General features: G+C 41.6%; 1 protein-coding gene across 56 annotated transcripts in view; it reads right to left on the bottom strand.

Annotated features, from left to right (window-relative positions):
* Positions 1–18,306, bottom strand: part of GAPVD1 (GTPase activating protein and VPS9 domains 1) — a 105,382-nt gene that overhangs the window by 28,195 nt on the left and 58,881 nt on the right. For 19 of the 56 annotated variants that reach the window (XM_047423204.1, XM_047423193.1, XM_047423205.1 and 16 more), the window contains 8 exons: positions 17,451–17,580; positions 15,090–15,215; positions 12,424–12,597; positions 8,795–8,935; positions 6,953–7,087; positions 6,384–6,503; positions 1,918–1,995; positions 1,422–1,792 (listed from right to left, as the gene is read on the bottom strand). In XM_047423204.1, the coding sequence (XP_047279160.1) occupies positions 1,422–1,792; positions 1,918–1,995; positions 6,384–6,503; positions 6,953–7,087; positions 8,795–8,935; positions 12,424–12,597; positions 15,090–15,215; positions 17,451–17,580 (1,275 nt within the window). Of the gene's footprint in view, positions 1–1,421; positions 1,793–1,917; positions 1,996–3,760; positions 3,842–6,383; positions 6,504–6,952; positions 7,088–8,794; positions 8,936–12,423; positions 12,598–15,089; positions 15,216–17,450; positions 17,581–18,306 lie in introns of all 56 variants that reach the window. The other 37 variants (XM_047423200.1, XM_047423194.1, XM_047423207.1 and 34 more) reach the window with 4 other exon arrangements.

Here is an 18,306-nt window from a genome sequence, read left to right as displayed (position 1 = left end):
AAGACCCTATCTAAAACAAACAAACAAACCACAACAACAACAAAAAATATATATACACACACACACACACACACACACACACAAATTTTTTTAAAAGACAGAAAACCATGAGACCACAGATATAATAAGTAGGTAAGTTAAAAATTTGATGGAGAACAGATAGTTACATATTTTTAAAGTACCCTCTCCCCCTAAATACTTATTAATTATAAAGGTAAAAGAGTAACTTTACAGTGGCAAAGCCTGGAAGACAACATTTCCTCAAATTATCCAAATGAACACTGTAGAAATGGGACAAATTAAAACTGTGCTACCTGACAAAGTGCAATGAAAAAAAGTGTCATTTCAGTGATATTCCTGCCAAAGATGAATAACCTCAGTCTAATCACAAGAAAACATCAAACAACCTAACCTGAGGAACATTCGAGAAAACAAATGGCCTGTAAATTTCAAGAGCGTCCAGGTCATATGAGTCAAGAAAAAACTGAGGAACTGTTCTAGACTGAAGGAGACTAAAAAGGCATGACAACTAAAAGCAGTCTGTGATTCTGAATAGAACCTTTTTACTATAAAAAATGTTACAGGGACAACTGGGACACATGAATGGGGTGTGATAAGTAACTGGTAGTAATGTATCAATGTTCATCTGCTGAAGCTGATGGCTGTACCATGAGGTGTAGGAGAATCTGCTTGTTTGTAGGAAACTTACACTGAAGTGTTTAGGGGTACTGGAGCATCAGGTTGGCAACTTGCTCACAAATGGGGAGGGAGTGTTCTTTTATTGTACTTCCAACTTGTTTGTAACTTTAAAATTGTTTAAAATAAAAAATACTCATGGGGCCAGGTGCGGTGGCTCATGCCTGTAATCCCAGCAACTCTGGGAGGCCAAGGCAGGCGGATCACAAGGTCAGGAGATCAAAACCATCCTGGCCAACATGGTGAAACCCCGTCTCTAATAAAATGCAAAAAATTAGCCGGGTGTGGTGGCGCATGCCTGTAGTCCCACCTACTCAGGAGGCTGAGGCAGAGGAATCGCTTGAACCTGGGAGGCGGAGGTAGCAGTAAGCCAAGATTGCACCACTGTACTCTAGCCTGGGCAACAGAGTGTGACTCCATCTCAAAAAACAAAAAACAACTCATCTAACATCTCAGAAAGATATTGTAAGGTTTAAATAAAATCAGATACAAAATTGCTTAGAGAAACTAAAAGTGTCATAAAAATGCAAGATAGTATCACTACAAAACCAAAGTTGTACAGGTTTCCTGCGGTTATGGTTGTGGGCCCATAGATTGACAAATCATCTTTAATCATGACTACTCTCTATCTGTAATCCTAGATTTATATATTCCATGTTAATTTCAGATATCAAGAGAACTAGGCAGGCAGAACATAATTCTTTTTCACGGCCTATGTCCCATACCTCTCCTCTTGAGGAGTCCTTACTCGGGGATGAAGATGATGAATGAGGTGCAGCCACCAAAGAAGTAGCACCAATGGCTGCAGCTGGAGGGAGTTCTCGCTCTTCATTTCCTGGACGCCGGTTCCAGCTGGGGTCACTCATGGGTCTCCGGACAGAAGATACTATATCAGAGCTCCTGCTTCGAACTAGTCTCTCAGGGTAAGAATGCCTTTGCTTGAATGCCTCCATTTCAGCTGGAGTTAAAACATGGGAACCAAAGTTTGGCAACCTGGCCTCATTTCCTCCCACAGCTCCTTCCAGGATTGGGGGATCTGGTGGTGGATGCGATGGCCTAGCATAGTGAACCTTTGGCCTTACCACAGCAGAAGCCCCTGCAACACAGGAAAAAAAGTTTTGTAACTGAGACACAACATATCTAACAAAGGCATTAACAAGGGGATTTGGTTTCCTCCTCCTGTCTGTGACATAAGTGAAAAAGTTCATTTCACTGGTTTACCTTCATGTGAAGACAGTGGATCAAACATGGCCAGCAGAGACTCTGACTGAGAAGGAGGAGAGGTCAGCTGGTGGGCACCTAAAACAGGAGGGAAACTGTGAGACCAAGCCAGGACGCAGGACAGACGGTCTCAACACAGTTTAAAGGGTTTTAAGTATTCTTTGACGGTTCCTTTTTTGATCCATTAGAACTTGAGAGGCATACCAGAAAAAAAAAATCAAATTATGATTACTTCCAATTCATTTTCTGTTTTTATGAGTATCTTCATACACAGATTTTCTTTACATTTAAGTGGTCTGGCATCTACATGCCTGTTACTTCTAATGGCCAAATGCTAGTATGGTTCATGCAAAGAGAACAAAGCCGGAAGACCTAAACCATCAATGTTTTGAGAATGTCACAGCTTCCCTGAGCCTCGCCTTCCCCTCACCTGAAAATATAGGGGGCAGGCCAGGTGTAGGGGCTCATGCCTTTAATCCCAGTGCTTTGGGAGGCCAAGGAGGGAGGACCGCTTGAGCCCAGGAGTTCAAGACCAGTCTGGGCAAGATGGTGAGACCTGGTCTCTACAAAAATTTACAAGAACTAAAAATTAAAAAATAAATAAATTATAAACATAGGGGCAATACTCTGTACAGACAGCGTACAAATAAAAGGCTGTAAATCTTGAAGTTCTAACACTGCTCTCAGCAAATAACTTTAAAATAGATAAGTATGCAGAGGATGGAAATTTCAAACATAAAAAAATTATTAATCTAAATGTTTTTAGTCTGAAGCTATTTTTTGTTTTTTGTTTTTTTTTTTTTTTGGTCTCAAGCTATATCTTTTGATAATGAATGAGAGTACTATTATGCCTTTTGATTTTTACTTTTGTTCTATAGTTAGATCATTATAAAAGATGGACTAAAACAGCAGTTCTCAAATTTTGGTCTCAGGCTTTTTTTTTTTTTTTTGGAGACAAAGTCTTGCTCTGTCACCCTGGCTGGAGTGCAGTGGTGCAAACATAGCTCACTGCAGCCTCAATCTCTTGGGCTCGAGTGATCCTCCTGCCTTAGCCTCCCAAATAGCTGTGAGCACACCACACCCAGCTAATTTTTATGTTATTTTTTGTAGAGACAGGGTCTCACCATGTTGCCCAGGCTGGTCTTGAACTCCTAGGCTCAAGCACTCCTCCTGCCTCTGCCTCTCAAAGTGCTGGGATTACAGGCATGAGCTACCATGCCTGGCCAAGATATCTTTACAACTTAAAAAATTACTGACCCTAATAGCTTTTGTTTATGGTGGTTATATCTATTGATATTCTATATTAGAAAACTGAAGTTTAAATATTTATTAATTCATTTAAATATACCCATTAAATGGTAATACAAGAGTCTCTCTGAACCTACTCTGGTTTGGGAGGCTGTCCATTTTTTGCTTTTTTGAGACAGAGTCTCACTCTGTCACCAGGGTGGAGTGCAGTGGTGTGATCTCAGCTCACTGCAACCTCCACCTCCTGGGTTCAAGCGATTCTCCTGCCTCAGCCTCCCGAGTAGCTGGCATTACAGGCACACGCCACCACACCCAGCTAATTTTTTGTATTTTTAGTAGAGATGGGGTTTCACCATGTTGGCCAGGATGGTCTCGATCTCCTGACCTCGTAATCCGCCTGCCTCGGCCTCCCAAAGTGCTGGGATTATGGGCGTGAGCCACCGCGCCCAGCCCCATTTTTAAAAAAAAAAAGAAAAAATTTTAATGGTAACACAAAAAAGCATTAAAAATAAATAAATAAATAACTATTATTTTCCAAAATAAAAAATGAAGAGAATGACACATTTTTTGCAAGTATTTTTAATGTACAGCTTACTAGAAGACAGCTGGATTCTCATGTCTGCTTCTGCTTCAATGTGTTGAAAATGTTGTTTTGGCTGAAGTATATAAAGAAAATCTGGCCTCACACGGACATGTAGTTGGAAAAGGAACAATATGTTAGTAGCCTTTTCAGAAAATTGTGGATATTATTCTTTGATACTCTACCACATCTTGAGAAGTATAGTTTTTTAAAGGATAGCTACAAGGTAGAATTTGAAACCAAATCAATGAACTTTTTGTCCTCTGCTAAATTCACATTTTTCATATCACCACCAATCTCACCAGAAAAGTCTTTAAACAACAGAAAGCTGTCAAGCTCATGCAGGTAGACACACGTTTCCAAAATTCTAATTTTTGTCCAAAAGTTTGAATTTCATCACTGGCAACAAACTCCACTCTATTAGTTGCTTCTCTAAGAAACAGGATCATTTTGTTAATTTTTTTTTTTTTAAAGATGGGACCACAGGCATGCGCCACCACACCTGGCTAATTTTTTTATTTTTTTATTTTTGTAGAGACGAGGTCTCACCATGTTGCCCAGGATGATGTCGAACTCCTGGGCTCAAGGACTCCTCCAGCCTCAGCCTCTCGAAGTGCTGGGATCACAGGTGTGAGCCAACGCACCTGGCCACACTTTGTTAATTTTTGAGATGTCTGCCAAATACCCAATTACGTATTCATAAGAAATACAGTTTATCTGTCATTCTTCCAAGTAAAAATAATATTTCATGAAAAACCAAATAAAAATAAGGAGAAACATTGGCTAGTTCAGCTAACAACTCAAATAATCCATAAGTGCTTCTTGAGACATCTCATCATATCTCAGAATGCGGTGAAAACGCAATATGGGTGCTTCCTATTTCTTCACACAGAATATTAAAAAGGTGTATACTCAAGGGTTGAGATGTGATTAAGTAATTTTTATTCCTTCATCAAAGACATTCCTAAGTAAAACTTTTTTTTTTTTTTTTTTTTTTAACTGTGAGTGAAGAATACAGTGTGGTGCCCTTGCATCCTGCTAGGGCCCCAGCAAATTTTATCCACTTTGCCTATGCACCGTAAGTACAAATGTCGACACGGTGAAAATGGACAGTTAACTTTGATTTTTATGAAAACAGTTGTGACTTCATCTACACTCCTCCCTCAAAGGGTCTTAGGACCTCAGTGGTCCATGGAGACCATGCTTTGAGACTGCTGGTTTAGAACAGTGGTTCTTGATTGGTGGCTATTTTGTCCCCCAAGAGAGCATTTGGCAATGTCTAGAGACATTTTTCGTTGTCACAACCCCAGGGGGTAAAGGGCATATACTACTGGTAGGGGCCAGAGCTGCTTAAACCTCCTAAAATGCACAGGACAGGCCCCCACAACAAAGAATTTCCCAGCCCAAAATGTCAATGGTGTTAAGGTTAAAAAACCCTGGTTTAGAACAAAAAAAAATTGTAAAAATAGAAAAAGTACCTCGCAGAGCGCGGTGGCTCATGCCTGTAATCCCAGCACTTTGGGAGGCCGAGGCGGGCAGATCACCTGAGGTTGGGGGTTCCAGACCAGCCTGACCAACATGGAGAAACCCTGTCTCTACTAAAAATACAAAATTAGCTGGGCGTGGTGGCACATGCCTGTAATCCCAGCTACTTGGGAGGCTGAGGCAGGAGAATCATTTGAACCTGGGAGACAGAGGTTGTGGTGAGCCGAGATTGCGCCATTGCACTCCAGCCTGGGCAACAAGAGCAAAACTCTGTCTCAAAAAAAAAAAAAAAAAAAAGACAAAAGGTACCTCAAAACCTAACACCCAATATATAAAACCACTGCTAGCATTTTGGTATTTCCAGTACTTACTTCTTGCATAGGTTTTTAAAAAATGTTTTACTGGCCGGGTGCGGTGGCTCACACCTGTACTCCCAGCACTTTGGGAGGCCGAGGCAGGTGGATCACGAGGTCAGGAGTTCGAGACCAGCCTGGCCAATGTGATGAAACCCCCGTATCTACTAAAAATAGAAAAATTAGCTGGGCGTGGTGGTGGGTGCCTGTAATCCAAGCTACTGGGGAGGCTGAGGCAGGAGAATGGCTTGAACCCAGCAGACCCAGGAGGCGGAAGTGCAGTGAGCCAAGATCGTGCCACAGCACTCCAGCCTGGGTGACAGCACAAGACTCCGTCTCAAAAAAAAAACAGAAGTTTTATTATTTTGTGTGTAAAGTTCTACAAAATAAATTCCATGTAGTATGTTCTAGTTTTTTCTCTAAGTCATTTCATATTCCTTAATGCATTTTAAAATAGCTACATAAATTCCAATAAGCAGTTACATCAAAATTATTTAGCCATTCCACTTTTCAATTTTTTAAGTTATTTCTAGTTTTCTGCCAATACAAAACATTATAAAGAACATCTTCGTGCTAAGGACTTTCTCTACACATGGAATTTTTTCATTATGACTGACACCTAGAAGTGGAACTAACCTGACTAAATTTAGAATGTGAACATTTAAGACCTTAAATAGATACTGACAAAGTATGTCCCAAAGTGCTATACCAACAGATGCTGTCACCAGCAATGTGTCACAGTGCCAGTTTCAACCACGGATGTGGTCATTTTTTAAGTCATCCTCATTTCCCCCTCTTACCGTGAGTTATTTCATCCATGTCTGGACTAGTGACAGAATCTTTACCCCCAAAATCAGAGCTGCACTCAGATCTCAGGTCTTCAATCTTATTGGGAATATCCTCAGAGGTTGCACTTATGCCTTTAAAAAACAATAGTAAAAAATAAACAGGAAGAAGAACAAAATATCCACACAAAAAGTATATGAAATTTGGAGAAACTGAAACATTCTCGAATTTTGTGTCCCAGTTCTATACATGTGAGTTTAGTATTATATCCTTTATGGTACTACTGCTTAAATATACTTACCTTGCTTTACACAACATAATCAGAATCGTACAATTCTAAAGTAGGACAGGCTACTAAGAACAGAAACAGTTGTAGAGAGACTGTTTGCCAATTACTTCAACAGGCTCCATAAGGCCACACATTAAGTTCTCAAAGATTTCAGGTGCAATGGAAATAAGTTTGTTTTCTGGAAATTACTCAGCTCTTAAATATAACATATCTTTTTGTATCAACTTTATAAATAGGAGGGGGTAGGGGGTGAACACCTTCAAATCCCTACTCCTTAAAACAAGACAGACATACCGGACACAACACTGAGGCCTGGTGTGCTGGGGCGGGAACTGACCTCCCTGACATCCGTATCATCAGATGTGCTACCCAGTCCAGAACAGCTCTCCAGTTCTTGCAGACGCTCCTCCTGCTTTAGGTCTGGGGCCTCTAAATAGAAGATAAGAGGTATGTTACATTTGTGATTCTCTTAGCACACCACAATTTCAGCTTTTGTGACCCAGATAAACAAAGCTACCAGGGCATGAATAAAATCAGTGCAAATACATGTGTAAGTCTGGACTAGTTAATGCTAGTTAGATTAAGTGTTAAGTCAAAGTTGTGATTTTCATCCCAATATAAGCCAGTTCACTGTGCACAGATGAAAACGTGGTTCTAGATCACTAATGTCACAGAGTATGCTATTGATTAACATGTGAACTGGACAAGAGAGTATGGAATAGCCTGGTATTAAATCAACCACTTCCTAAAAAGTAACTCCTATGAATACTCAACAGCTGGTAAGCTAATCCTATTGTCCCCAACTGGTCTTCAAACAAGGCTAGCATATCTGAATGCTTTAACATTATAAAACAGGCCAGCCGTGGTAGCTCACACCTGTAATCCCAGCACTTTGGGAGGTCGAGGCCGGCAGATCACCTGAGGTCAGGAGTTCGAGACCAGCATGCCCAACACGGTGAAATCCCATCTCTACTAAAAATACAAAAACTAGCTAGGCGTGGTGGCAGGTGCCTGTAATCCCAGCTACTTGGGAGGCTGAGGCAAAAGAATCACTTGAACCCAGGAGGCAGAGATTGCACTGAGCCGTGATTGCACCACTGCACTCCAGCCTGGGTGACAGAGTGAGACTCCATCTCAAAAAAAAAAAAAATTATAAAACACATATCAGGATCACTTAATAATTCTTGAACCAAGTAAATCAACAGAATGTAATGCAGATACACAGTTACTTATATTTACATTCTGGTAGTTGACATTTAGTTGAAAGCAAAGATGCGTCTTCATAATCAGAAAAAAATGCAATGCATATGAAAAGACAAAGTACAAAACACTTTATATACATTTATAATAACCTGCACAAAAAAAAAATCCTCAGGATTACAGAATCTCAATTTCAACGTATTTCAAAAACACATTAAGCATGTTTTAGAGAGTCAAGTTCTCCCCTGTGATAAATCTAAATGTGTTTACCAAGCAAGCACTCAGTTTGAACTGTGTTGCTACTCTTATCCTGTCATGAGTTTGTGGAAGATACTAAATTCAATGATTCACACGGACTCTGATAATCACAGAAAATTGCTTTCAAAATAACTCAACACAGAGTCTGAAAGCACCTGCCATCACAGTCTATGCTATCTAACAGAGCATTTTCCCTTAATGGACAGAAAATGCCCTAAACTAATTTTCCATTTGACATTCTTAGCAATGTGATCACCTCATCTTTGTCAAATGTATAACTGGCTGGGCATGATGGCTCATGCCTGTAATTCCAGCACTTCGGGAGGCCAAGGTGGGCAGATCACCTGAGGTCAGTAGTTCAAGACCAGCCTGGCCAACATGGTGAAACCCTGTTTCTCTAAAAATACAAAAATTACCCGGCATGGTGGGGCATGTCTGTAATCCCAGCTACTCAGGAGGCTGAGGCGAGAAGACTGCTTGAACCCAGGAGGCAGAGGTTGCAGTAAGTTGGGATCGCGCCACAGCACTCCAGCCTGGGTAAAAGAGCAAGACTCCATCTCCATTAAAAAAAAAAAAAAAGTGTATTTGACAAAATATACATAATACAGAGTTGGGATACCTTGCATTTAATTAAAACTTCTGTATAAATGAAAAAGCAAACAATGACAGCATACTAACCTGAGTCACTTGGCAATACCTCTACACTCCAAGCTTCACTTGTTGTCTCTGATATGGTAGAACCAGTGCAGGGGTCAAGAAGCACTGACCCTGAACCTGGGAGGCACAGCAAACTGCCTAACATGTTCTCTGCTGCAGCACCTGTATAACCAGTGGGAAGCAAAGGGTTAACAAAGATCCTGGAGGAAAGTGCAGTGATAGTGGAGAAAAGCCAAACACTAGCTAACAAAATCTCCTGGCTGGGCGCGGTGGCTCACACCTGTAATCCCAGCACTTTGGGAGGCTGAGGCAGGCAGATCACTTGAGGCCAGGAGTTCAACACCAGCCTGGCCAACATGGCGAAACCCCGTCTCTACTGAAAATACAAAAATTAGCCAGGTATGGTGGCGTGCACCGGTAGTCTCAGCTACTTGGGAAGCTGAGGCACAAGAACCCGGGAGGCAGAGGTTGCAGGGGGTGCAGAGACTGCAGTGAGCCGAGGTCATGCCATTGCCCTCCAACCTGGTCAATGTGAGTGAGACCCTGTCTCAAAAATAAAAATGGCCGTGTCATTTTGGGACTTTGTCTCAAAAAAAAAAAAAAAACCACCAAATTCCTCTCTACCTACAAGAAAGAGGCCAAAGTAAGAATAACTTCAATCAAGCACACCACTAAAAACACAAGTTCCTACTTTGGTCACAATGGCACAATACCCTTTTCACCAGTTTCCTCCAGTTCACCTTTGACTCTCCATAGAGAAAACACACATCATTAAGTCAAGTAATTTCAACAGCTTTAGCTTTGATTTCTCAGCAAATTTTACAGGGGTCCTTAATATCGTTCTAAAATTTATAGCCCTACAAAGATTAAAAACACTGAGAGTTTAACCACAGAATGTTATGCTGGCCAAATATTTTTTCTTCCAGCATATTAGTCACTATTCAGGGCAATAAGATACATTCACAGGAAAATACACATCTTCATAGCACTCACTCAACTGCAAATACAGCTTATTGCGCAAATACAGCTAACTGCCAAGAACAATACCACTTTGGCATCTGGAACAAAGTAATGTAAAACCAATTAAGAAATCTATTTACACCTCTCCCTCTCCCTCTCCCTCTCCCCACGGTCTCCCTCTCATGCGGAGCCGAAGCTGGACTGTACTGCTGCCATCTTGGCTCACTGCAACCTCCCTGCCTGATTCTCCTGCCTCAGCCTGCCGAGTGCCTGCGACTGCAGGCACGCGCCGCCACGCCTGACTGGTTTTGGTGGAGACGGGGTTTCACTGTGTTGGCCGGGCGGTCTCCAGCCCCTAACCGCGAGTGATCCGCCAGCCTCGGCCTCCCGAGGTGAGCCCCCCTGCCCGGCCAGCCGCCCCGTCCGGGAGGGAGGTGGGGGGGGGGTCAGCCCCCTGCCCGGCCAGCCGCCTCGTCCGGGAGGTGAGGGGCGCCTCTGCCCGGCCGCCCCTACTGGGAAGTGAGGAGCCCCTCTGCCCGGCCACCACCCCGTCTGGGAGGTGTGCCCAACAGCTCATTGAGAACGGGCCAGGATGACAATGGCGGCTTTGTGGAATAGAAAGGCGGGAAAGGTGGGGAAAAGATTGAGAAATCGGATGGTTGCCCTGTCTGTGTAGAAAGAAGTAGACATGGGAGACTTTTCATTTTGTTCTGCACTAAGAAAAATTCTTCTGCCTTGGGATCCTGTTGATCTGTGACCTTACCCCCAACCCTGTGCTCTCTGAAACATGTGCTGTGTCCACTCAGGGTTAAATGGATTAAGGGCAGTGCAAGATGTGCTTTGTTAAACAGATGCTTGAAGGCAGCATGCTCCTTAAGAGTCATCACCACTCCCTAATCTCAAGTAATCAGGGACACAAACACTGCGGAAGGCCGCAGGGTCCTCTGCCTAGGAAAACCAGAGACCTTTGTTCACTTGTTTATCTGCTGACCTTCCCTCCACTATTGTCCCATGACCCTGCCAAATCCCCCTCTGTGAGAAACACCCAAGAATTATCAATAAAAAAATAAATTTAAAAAAAAAAAAAAAAAGAAATCTATTTGCACTACTTAAAAATACAAATCGAAAGTATTAAACATTATTATACGTCTGTGTTAAAAACACTGAAGTTCAAAAGGCTTCACTACTTTGGATTAAACCTAATAAAAGAATAATTCTACTTCAGGGCATGAAAAAAAATTAGAAAAAAAGTTACTAATAAAAGTTACCTTTTAAAGCTATATCATAAAATAATTAGAAATAAAATAATGTCTGGAACTTGCCTAAACATAATGAGGGGAGAGAAGAGGGTAGTGGATAGGAGAACAGATGAAAGAAAGCTGGCCATGTGGGTCTAACTCCTGAAACTGAGTGATGGGTACACTGGGTTCATGATACCACCATCTCTTGTATTTGTTTAAAATGTTCCATGATTTAGGCCGGGAGCAATGGCTCATGACTGTAATCCCAGCACTTTGGGAGGCCGAGGCGGATGGATCACTTGAGGTCAGGAGTTCGAGACCAGCCTGGCCAATATGGTGAAACCCCGTCTCTACTAAAAATACAAAAATTATCTGGGTGTGGTGGTGGGCACCTGCAGTCCCAGCTACTCGGGAGGCTGAGGCAGGAGAATCACTTAAACCAGGGAGGCAGAGGTTGCAGTGAGCTGAGATCGCACCACTGCAACTCCAGCCTGGGCGACAGAGTAAGACTCTATCTTAAATTAAAAAAACAAAAACAAAAAAAAACCTATTGGTTACTATGCTCACTACCTGGGTGGCAAAATCATCTGTACACCAAACCCCAGCAACATACAATTTGCTCTAACAATTTCCCATGTAACAAATCTGCACATGTACCCCCTGAACCTAAAATAAAAGTTGAAGAAAAATAAACATATCAATAAATTTTCCATGATTTAAAAACAAAATGAAGATGAGGGTTACAAGACTATATATCTTTCAGAACTCATAAAACAGTATCCAAAAAGGAGCGAATTTTAGTGTATATACATAGCACCTGAATAAACTTCACATTAAAAAAAAAGAAGGCAGGAGGATCACTTGAGCTCATTAGTTCAAGACCAGCCTGAGCAACAAAGCGAAATCCTGTCTCTATTTGAAAATAAATAAAAATGTAAGAAGAAGAAAAAGAAAAACCTGGTTACCCTTAGGAACTGAATTAACTCTTCCAGAAGTGAATTCATTTTTTTAGAGAACAGCAGTATCATATTGTTGTGAAAGATTTTATGGCTATAATCTATAAGAATTTTCATCTTAAGGTTAGGTGTTTGGCTTCAAACAGAGAATATACTAATTAGAGACAGACTAAGAACTTATACTATGCCCTGCAAACAACACTTGACCAGAAGCTAATTCAAAACACTGGTTTTTCTTTCTTTCTTTTTTTTTTTTGGGCAGCTGGGAGGAGGATGGGTAAGGGGTGGGATTAAATGTAGAAAGGAAAAACACTAGTTATATTTAAGTAAAGAAAAAAGTACCCAAATGCCTTGTTCCATACAGTTATAACAGTTTCCCAGATGGTGCTAACACACACAATGTTTGTCAGGGCACTGGTGCTCCCTCCCATGAAAGGTTGGTGGATTTGAATAACTAAACCGTGATATTTCAGAGACATTAAATGGCAGTTACCTGCAATTTCTTGCAAGCGATCTTCATCAATATTAGGGTCAAAGTCACTTCCCAAGACGTCTGTACTCCAGGTCTCACTCACTGTTTCTGATATGTCCCTATCATCTGTTAATCCCATCATGTCACGAATTTCAAACTTCCTTAGCTTATCATCAAGGTTATCCTGTGTTGTAGCTATCAAAAACAAAATTAAGCACTTTTAAAATAGTAGCACAGCTATGACTTTTTAATCAACTTTAAAGAATTTTATCTCCATGTTGGTCAGGCTGGTCTCGAACTCCCAATCTCAGGTGATCCGCCCGCCTCGGCCTCCCAAAGTGCTGGGATTACAGGCGTGAGCCACTGTGCCTGGCCTATCAATTCACTTCTTAATCTAGCATTTTGCATATGCCAACCACCTATCTCAGAATCTCCCAGGAAGTTTGCTAAAGAGGTGACATTTGTTCAACTTCTTTCATAAGCTCATATGAAAGTTCCTCCTCCACTTATGCAATGGCCTCCAGTGGATAACTGAAGCTTCGGATCGTACCAAATCCTATATATTCCATGCTGTTTTCATCTGATAAGCAGTGACTAATAGGCAGGTAGTGTATATGTGGATACACTGAACTAAGGAATGATTCATGTCCTGGATGTGATAGAGTGAGACTGTGTGAGATTTCATCACATTATTCAGAATGGCACAGAATTTAAAGCTTATGAATTATTTCTGAAATTTTCCATTTAATATTTTTGCACCAAGTTTGCCCATGGGTAACTGAAGCCATGGAAGGTGAAACCATGGATAAGGAGGTACTACTTTATTACTTGAGTTTTCTCTGCTGCTTGCAACAAACTTAATCCTAATTAATACACTGATAAACAAATCCAGTAAAATACAGCATTACTTTTTTCAAGCCACACACACTCCAATGACAATACTCTTTTTCTTTCTAAAAACTGACTTCTTTTTTAGAAGTAAGACTTGGGAAATGGAATTTTTAAAAAGCTAACCAGGTAATTCTTATGCATGCTAAAATCACTGTGTCAAACCTAGTTGAGGGCATCATCTTTTTTTTTTTTTTTTTTTTGAGATGGAGTCTCGCTCTGTCGCCCAGGCTGGAGTGCAGTGGTGTGATCTCTGCTCACTAAGCTCTGCCTCCCGGGTTCAGGCCATTCTCCTGCCTCAGCCTCCCGAGTAGCTGGGACTACAAGCGCCTGCCACCATGCCCAGCTAATTTTTTGTATTTTTAGTAGAGACAGGGTTTCACCGTGTCAGCCAGGATGGTCTTGATCTCCTGACCTCATGATCCGCCTGTCTTGGCCTCCCAAAGTGCTAGGGATTACAGGTATGAGCCACCGCACCCGGCCCATCTTTTTTTTTTTCAATCAGAGTCTCACTCTGTCGCCCAGGCTAGAGTGCAGTGGTGCGATCTCAGCTCACTGCAACCCCTGCCTCCCAGGTTCAAGCGATTCTCGTGCCTCAGCCTTCTGAGTAGCTGGGATTACAGGTGCTCACCACCTCACCTGGCTAATTTTTGTATTTTTAGTAGAGATGGGGTTTCACTATGTTGGCCAGACTGGTCTCAAATTCCTGACCTCAAATGATCTACCTGCCTCAGCCTCCCAAAGTGCTGGGATTACAGGCACGAGCCACTGTACCTGGCCAAGGGCATCATCTTAAATGAACAAATCCAAAAAACTCTTTCAACTTAATCTTCCTAAGGCACCTCACTTCCTCATCTTCACTGAACCAAAAGCCTTCAGTGGCTTCCAGCTTACTACTAAAATACTGATATCCTTCTTTCCACAACAGGGATCCACCTACTTTTTAATCCTTACCTCACTCCATTTCCCTAACTGATACCTGAAAAAGTACTATGGCTTCCCACCTCTTTGACTTGCTTATGCTTGTCCTTCACCTAGAATGACCTATCTCCAACTTCTGCCAAGGCAATGCCAGCCAGCCCTCAAGGCTAATATTTTCTTCCAATAAACTTTCCCTATACTTTCTTTTTTTTGAGACGGAGTTTTACTCTTTTTGCCCAGCCTGTTGTGCAATGCCACGATCTTGGCTCACCGCAACCTCCGCCTCCTGGGTTCAAGCGATTCTCCTGCCTCAGCCTCCCGAGTAGCTGGGATTACAGGCATGTGCCACCACCCTGGCTAATTTTGTATTTTCAGTAGAGACGGGCTTTCTCCATGTTGGTCAGGCTGGTCTTGAACTCCCGACCTCAGGTGATCCACCCGCCTCAGCCACCCAAAGTGCTGGGATTACAGGTGTGAGCCACCGGGCCCAGCAGCTTTCCCTATACTTTCAACCATATGTATCTCTCACTCAGAACTGCCAAATACTTTCATGATACTTTAAATCAATTGTGTACTATTCTTTCCCTATTCTAAGTTCCTTGAGCCTTGAGTATTTACATTGTATCCCTAAAATATTACATAATTAAAATATCAAATATTACTGAATTTCAAGTAATTTATATTAATTTATTAAGCCTAAACAATCCACTTACCAACTAAATAGATTTTGAAGAACTGAAGGAATGATGAATAAATGTTAAGTTTAATGGTGATTTAATCTCTTACTGAACCAAGCCAACTTAATGAAAACACACTGCTCATCTTGCAATCAGGTAAATTCTTTGCTACTTAGGCAACTGTGTTCAACTTCACTTTACCTTGCTCATGTTCTAACAGCTGTAGAGCTTCAACTCCATTACTGCCAGAAGGTCCTGCTCCAAGTTCTGACACAGACTCTCCTTCTAGGTCTAGGGAGGACACTGAATTGGAGCGATTTGAAGGACCTAGAGAAATGTTTATAGTGTGAGCAATCTTTTTAAAACAGTCATGAGCCACCACACAATTTTTCATGCCTTGATAAAAGACTAACAACTGATTAAAGTGTTTTTAATACTTTTTATACCTTAAAAAAACACATGCCCTTTGAGAAATTCTGCTTCTAGGAATTTATCCTAAGGTGCTAATAACAAATTAATCTGCTGGGTGCAATGCCTCATGCCTGTAATCCCAGTACTTTGGGAGGCTGAGGTGGGTGGATCATGAGGTCAGGAGATCGAGACCATCCTGGCTAACATGGTGAAACCCAGCCTCTACTAAAAATATAAAAATTTAGCCAGGCGTGGTGGCGGGCACCTGTAGTACCAGCTACTCAGGAGGCTGAGGCAGGAGAATGGCGTGAACCCGGGAGGCAGAGCTTGCAGTGGGCCGAGATCGCGCCACTGCACTCCAGCCTGGGCGACAGAGCGAGACTCCATCTCAAAAAACAAAACAAAACACAACACAACAAAACAAAACAAAAAATATAAAAATTAGCCGGCCTGATGGCACATGCCTGTAATCTCAGCTACTTAGGAGGCTGAGGCAGGGGAATTGCTTGAACCCGGGAGGCAAAGGTTGCAGTGAGCTGAGATCGCATCATTGCACTCCAGCCTGGGCAACAAAAGTGAGACTCCATCTCAAAAAATAATAATAATAATTAATCTAAAGTTGCTTGTTATAGAGCTTTTTCTTCTTTTTTTTTTTTTTTTTTAGAGAGAGTCTCGCTCTATCGTCCAAGCTGGAATGCAGTGGCACCATCTTGGCTCACTGCAACCTCCGCCTCCCTGGTTCAAGCAATTCTCCTGCCTCAGTCTCCCGAGTAGCTGGGACTACAGGCACACGCTGCCACACCCAGCTAATTTGTTGTATTTTAGTAGAGATGGGGTTTCACCGTGTTGCCCAGGCTGGTCTCAAACTCCTGAGCTCAGTGAATCCACCCACCTCGGCATCCCAAAGTGCTGGGATTAGAGGCATGAGCCACTTCGCCCAGCCCAGAAGTTATTATGTCCAAAAAGTGGAAGAAATCTATAGATTTAATCACAGAAGAAAGTTGAAAAAAATTATGATATGCCATGTGAGGTTAAGGAAAACAGCCATAAAAACCATGTTATTTAAGAATGTTAAATTACAAAGGGAAATGTTAATGCCATATTATTAAATTACAAAAGGTTACAAAACAGGATAAACCTAATTTTGCTGTGAATAATCTAAAACGTCAACTGCTATCAACAAAATTTTGAGATTATAGGTGATTCTATTTCTCTGTTTTGTAGAATGAACATACATTACATGTCATTTTTTTGGAAAAGTCAGATTAAAATATGAAGTTATTATATTTTAGGTTTCTTTTTAAATGTCAGTAAATTTGAACTATTGTCTTTAAATAAAAAAAAACCCGGGGCCAGGCGCGGTGGCTCACGCCTGTAATCCCAGCACTTTGGGAGGCTGAGGTGGGCGGATCACGAGGTCAGGAGATCGAGACCATCCTGGCTAACACGGTGAAACCCCGTCTCTACTAAAAATACAAAAAATTAGCCAGGCGTGGTGGCGGGTGCCTGTAGTCCCAACTATGCAGGAGGCTGAGGCAGGAGAATGGCGTGAACCCGGGAGGCGGAGCTTGCAGTGAGCCGAGATTGCGACACTGCACTCCAGCCTGGGCAACGAACGAGACTCTGTCTCAAAAAAAAAAAATTGGTACTAGTAGGCAAAATGACATATTCTCATTTCACAATCTTGGCTTTGAATTTTCTTTTTAATACCTATTTCCATTGTCTTCTGCTTCATAAAGGTATGTGTGAGTGTGAGTAAAGGAATACAGAACATTTAAGAGTATGTGCAACATATTGAAATACTAGTAAGTCCATTTTTTCCCGTTTCGACATGCATGATATCCTTCTAAAGGAGCTCTATAAGCTTTGGTATATATTAATACTGCAGAAACAGAACTTGCTGTTATTCTATTTAAGTCTGAATAAAGACATATCTTCTCCATTTTATATGACCAAAGGCATCTTGCAATTTTAATTTTATTCAGGAAACAATCTTTACAGCCAACTGTTCAGGCTCATTAGAGGAAATCTTCATTAGTCTCCTCAGTGAGAAGCACAGATGGTATAATTATAATTTATAAGCTCCTTTAAAAAACACAAAACAAACTATTAATTGAACCACACAACTCCTTGAATGAAGTAACCCTTCACCTTCAGATATTCCTTCCAGATTATCACTGCAGAGGGAAAAGCGCAAGGTTTTATCAGGTTTACCATGGAGTTTGTTTTCATCAACAGGGACATCTCCTTGTCCTCCATCCGAAAGCTGCATGTTTAGGACCTAAAAAATAAAATGTCAATTTTGGTTTATCAATGGAAAGATTACTGATAAGGAAACAAACCACAGCAAATGCATATTTAACTCCTTAATCTTAAATTATCAATTTTTAACTACAAACCTATTTAGAAGGTCTGTCAAGCTTTTAAATACCTGTGGAATAAAAGTATATAAATTAAAGCAGCTGAAGCCATGCCTTTCCATTACCCTACGAGTGTTACAGATAGAACAGGCAACCAGACTACCAGATGAGTAGTGGTGAGAATTATACAAATCAGAAGTCTTTGGTGTCAGCACGCTGGTCCTTCTAATTCTGTCATGTGTCAACTATGTAACCTTGGATAGGCAAGTTATTGAAATTCTCTAAGCCTCAGTTTCTTCATCTATAAAATGGTGACAGTAACAGTATGTATGCCATGTAATTGTTGAGAATTAAGTAAAAAGATGCACATAAAACAGTTGTCATGTCACGTATTAAATTTGCAAAATTTAAAGAAAGTAAATCAACAAGGCTGGGCGCAGAGGATCACGCCTGTAATCTCAGCACTTTGGGAGGCCAGGGCAGGCAGATCACGAGGTCAGGAGATCGAGACCATGCTGGCTAACATGGTGAAACCCCATCTCTACTAAACTACAAAAAAAATTAGCCGGGCTTGGTGGTGGGTGCCTGTAGTCCCAGCTACTCGGGAGGCTGAGGCAGAAGAATGGCGTGAACCTGGGAGGCGGAGC

This window comes from Homo sapiens, chromosome 9, assembly GCF_000001405.40.
Source record: "Homo sapiens chromosome 9, GRCh38.p14 Primary Assembly".
NCBI lineage: Eukaryota > Metazoa > Chordata > Mammalia > Primates > Hominidae > Homo > Homo sapiens.
The sequence above is the reverse complement of the archived record's forward strand: the minus strand, read 5'-3'. Positions and strand labels throughout refer to the sequence as shown.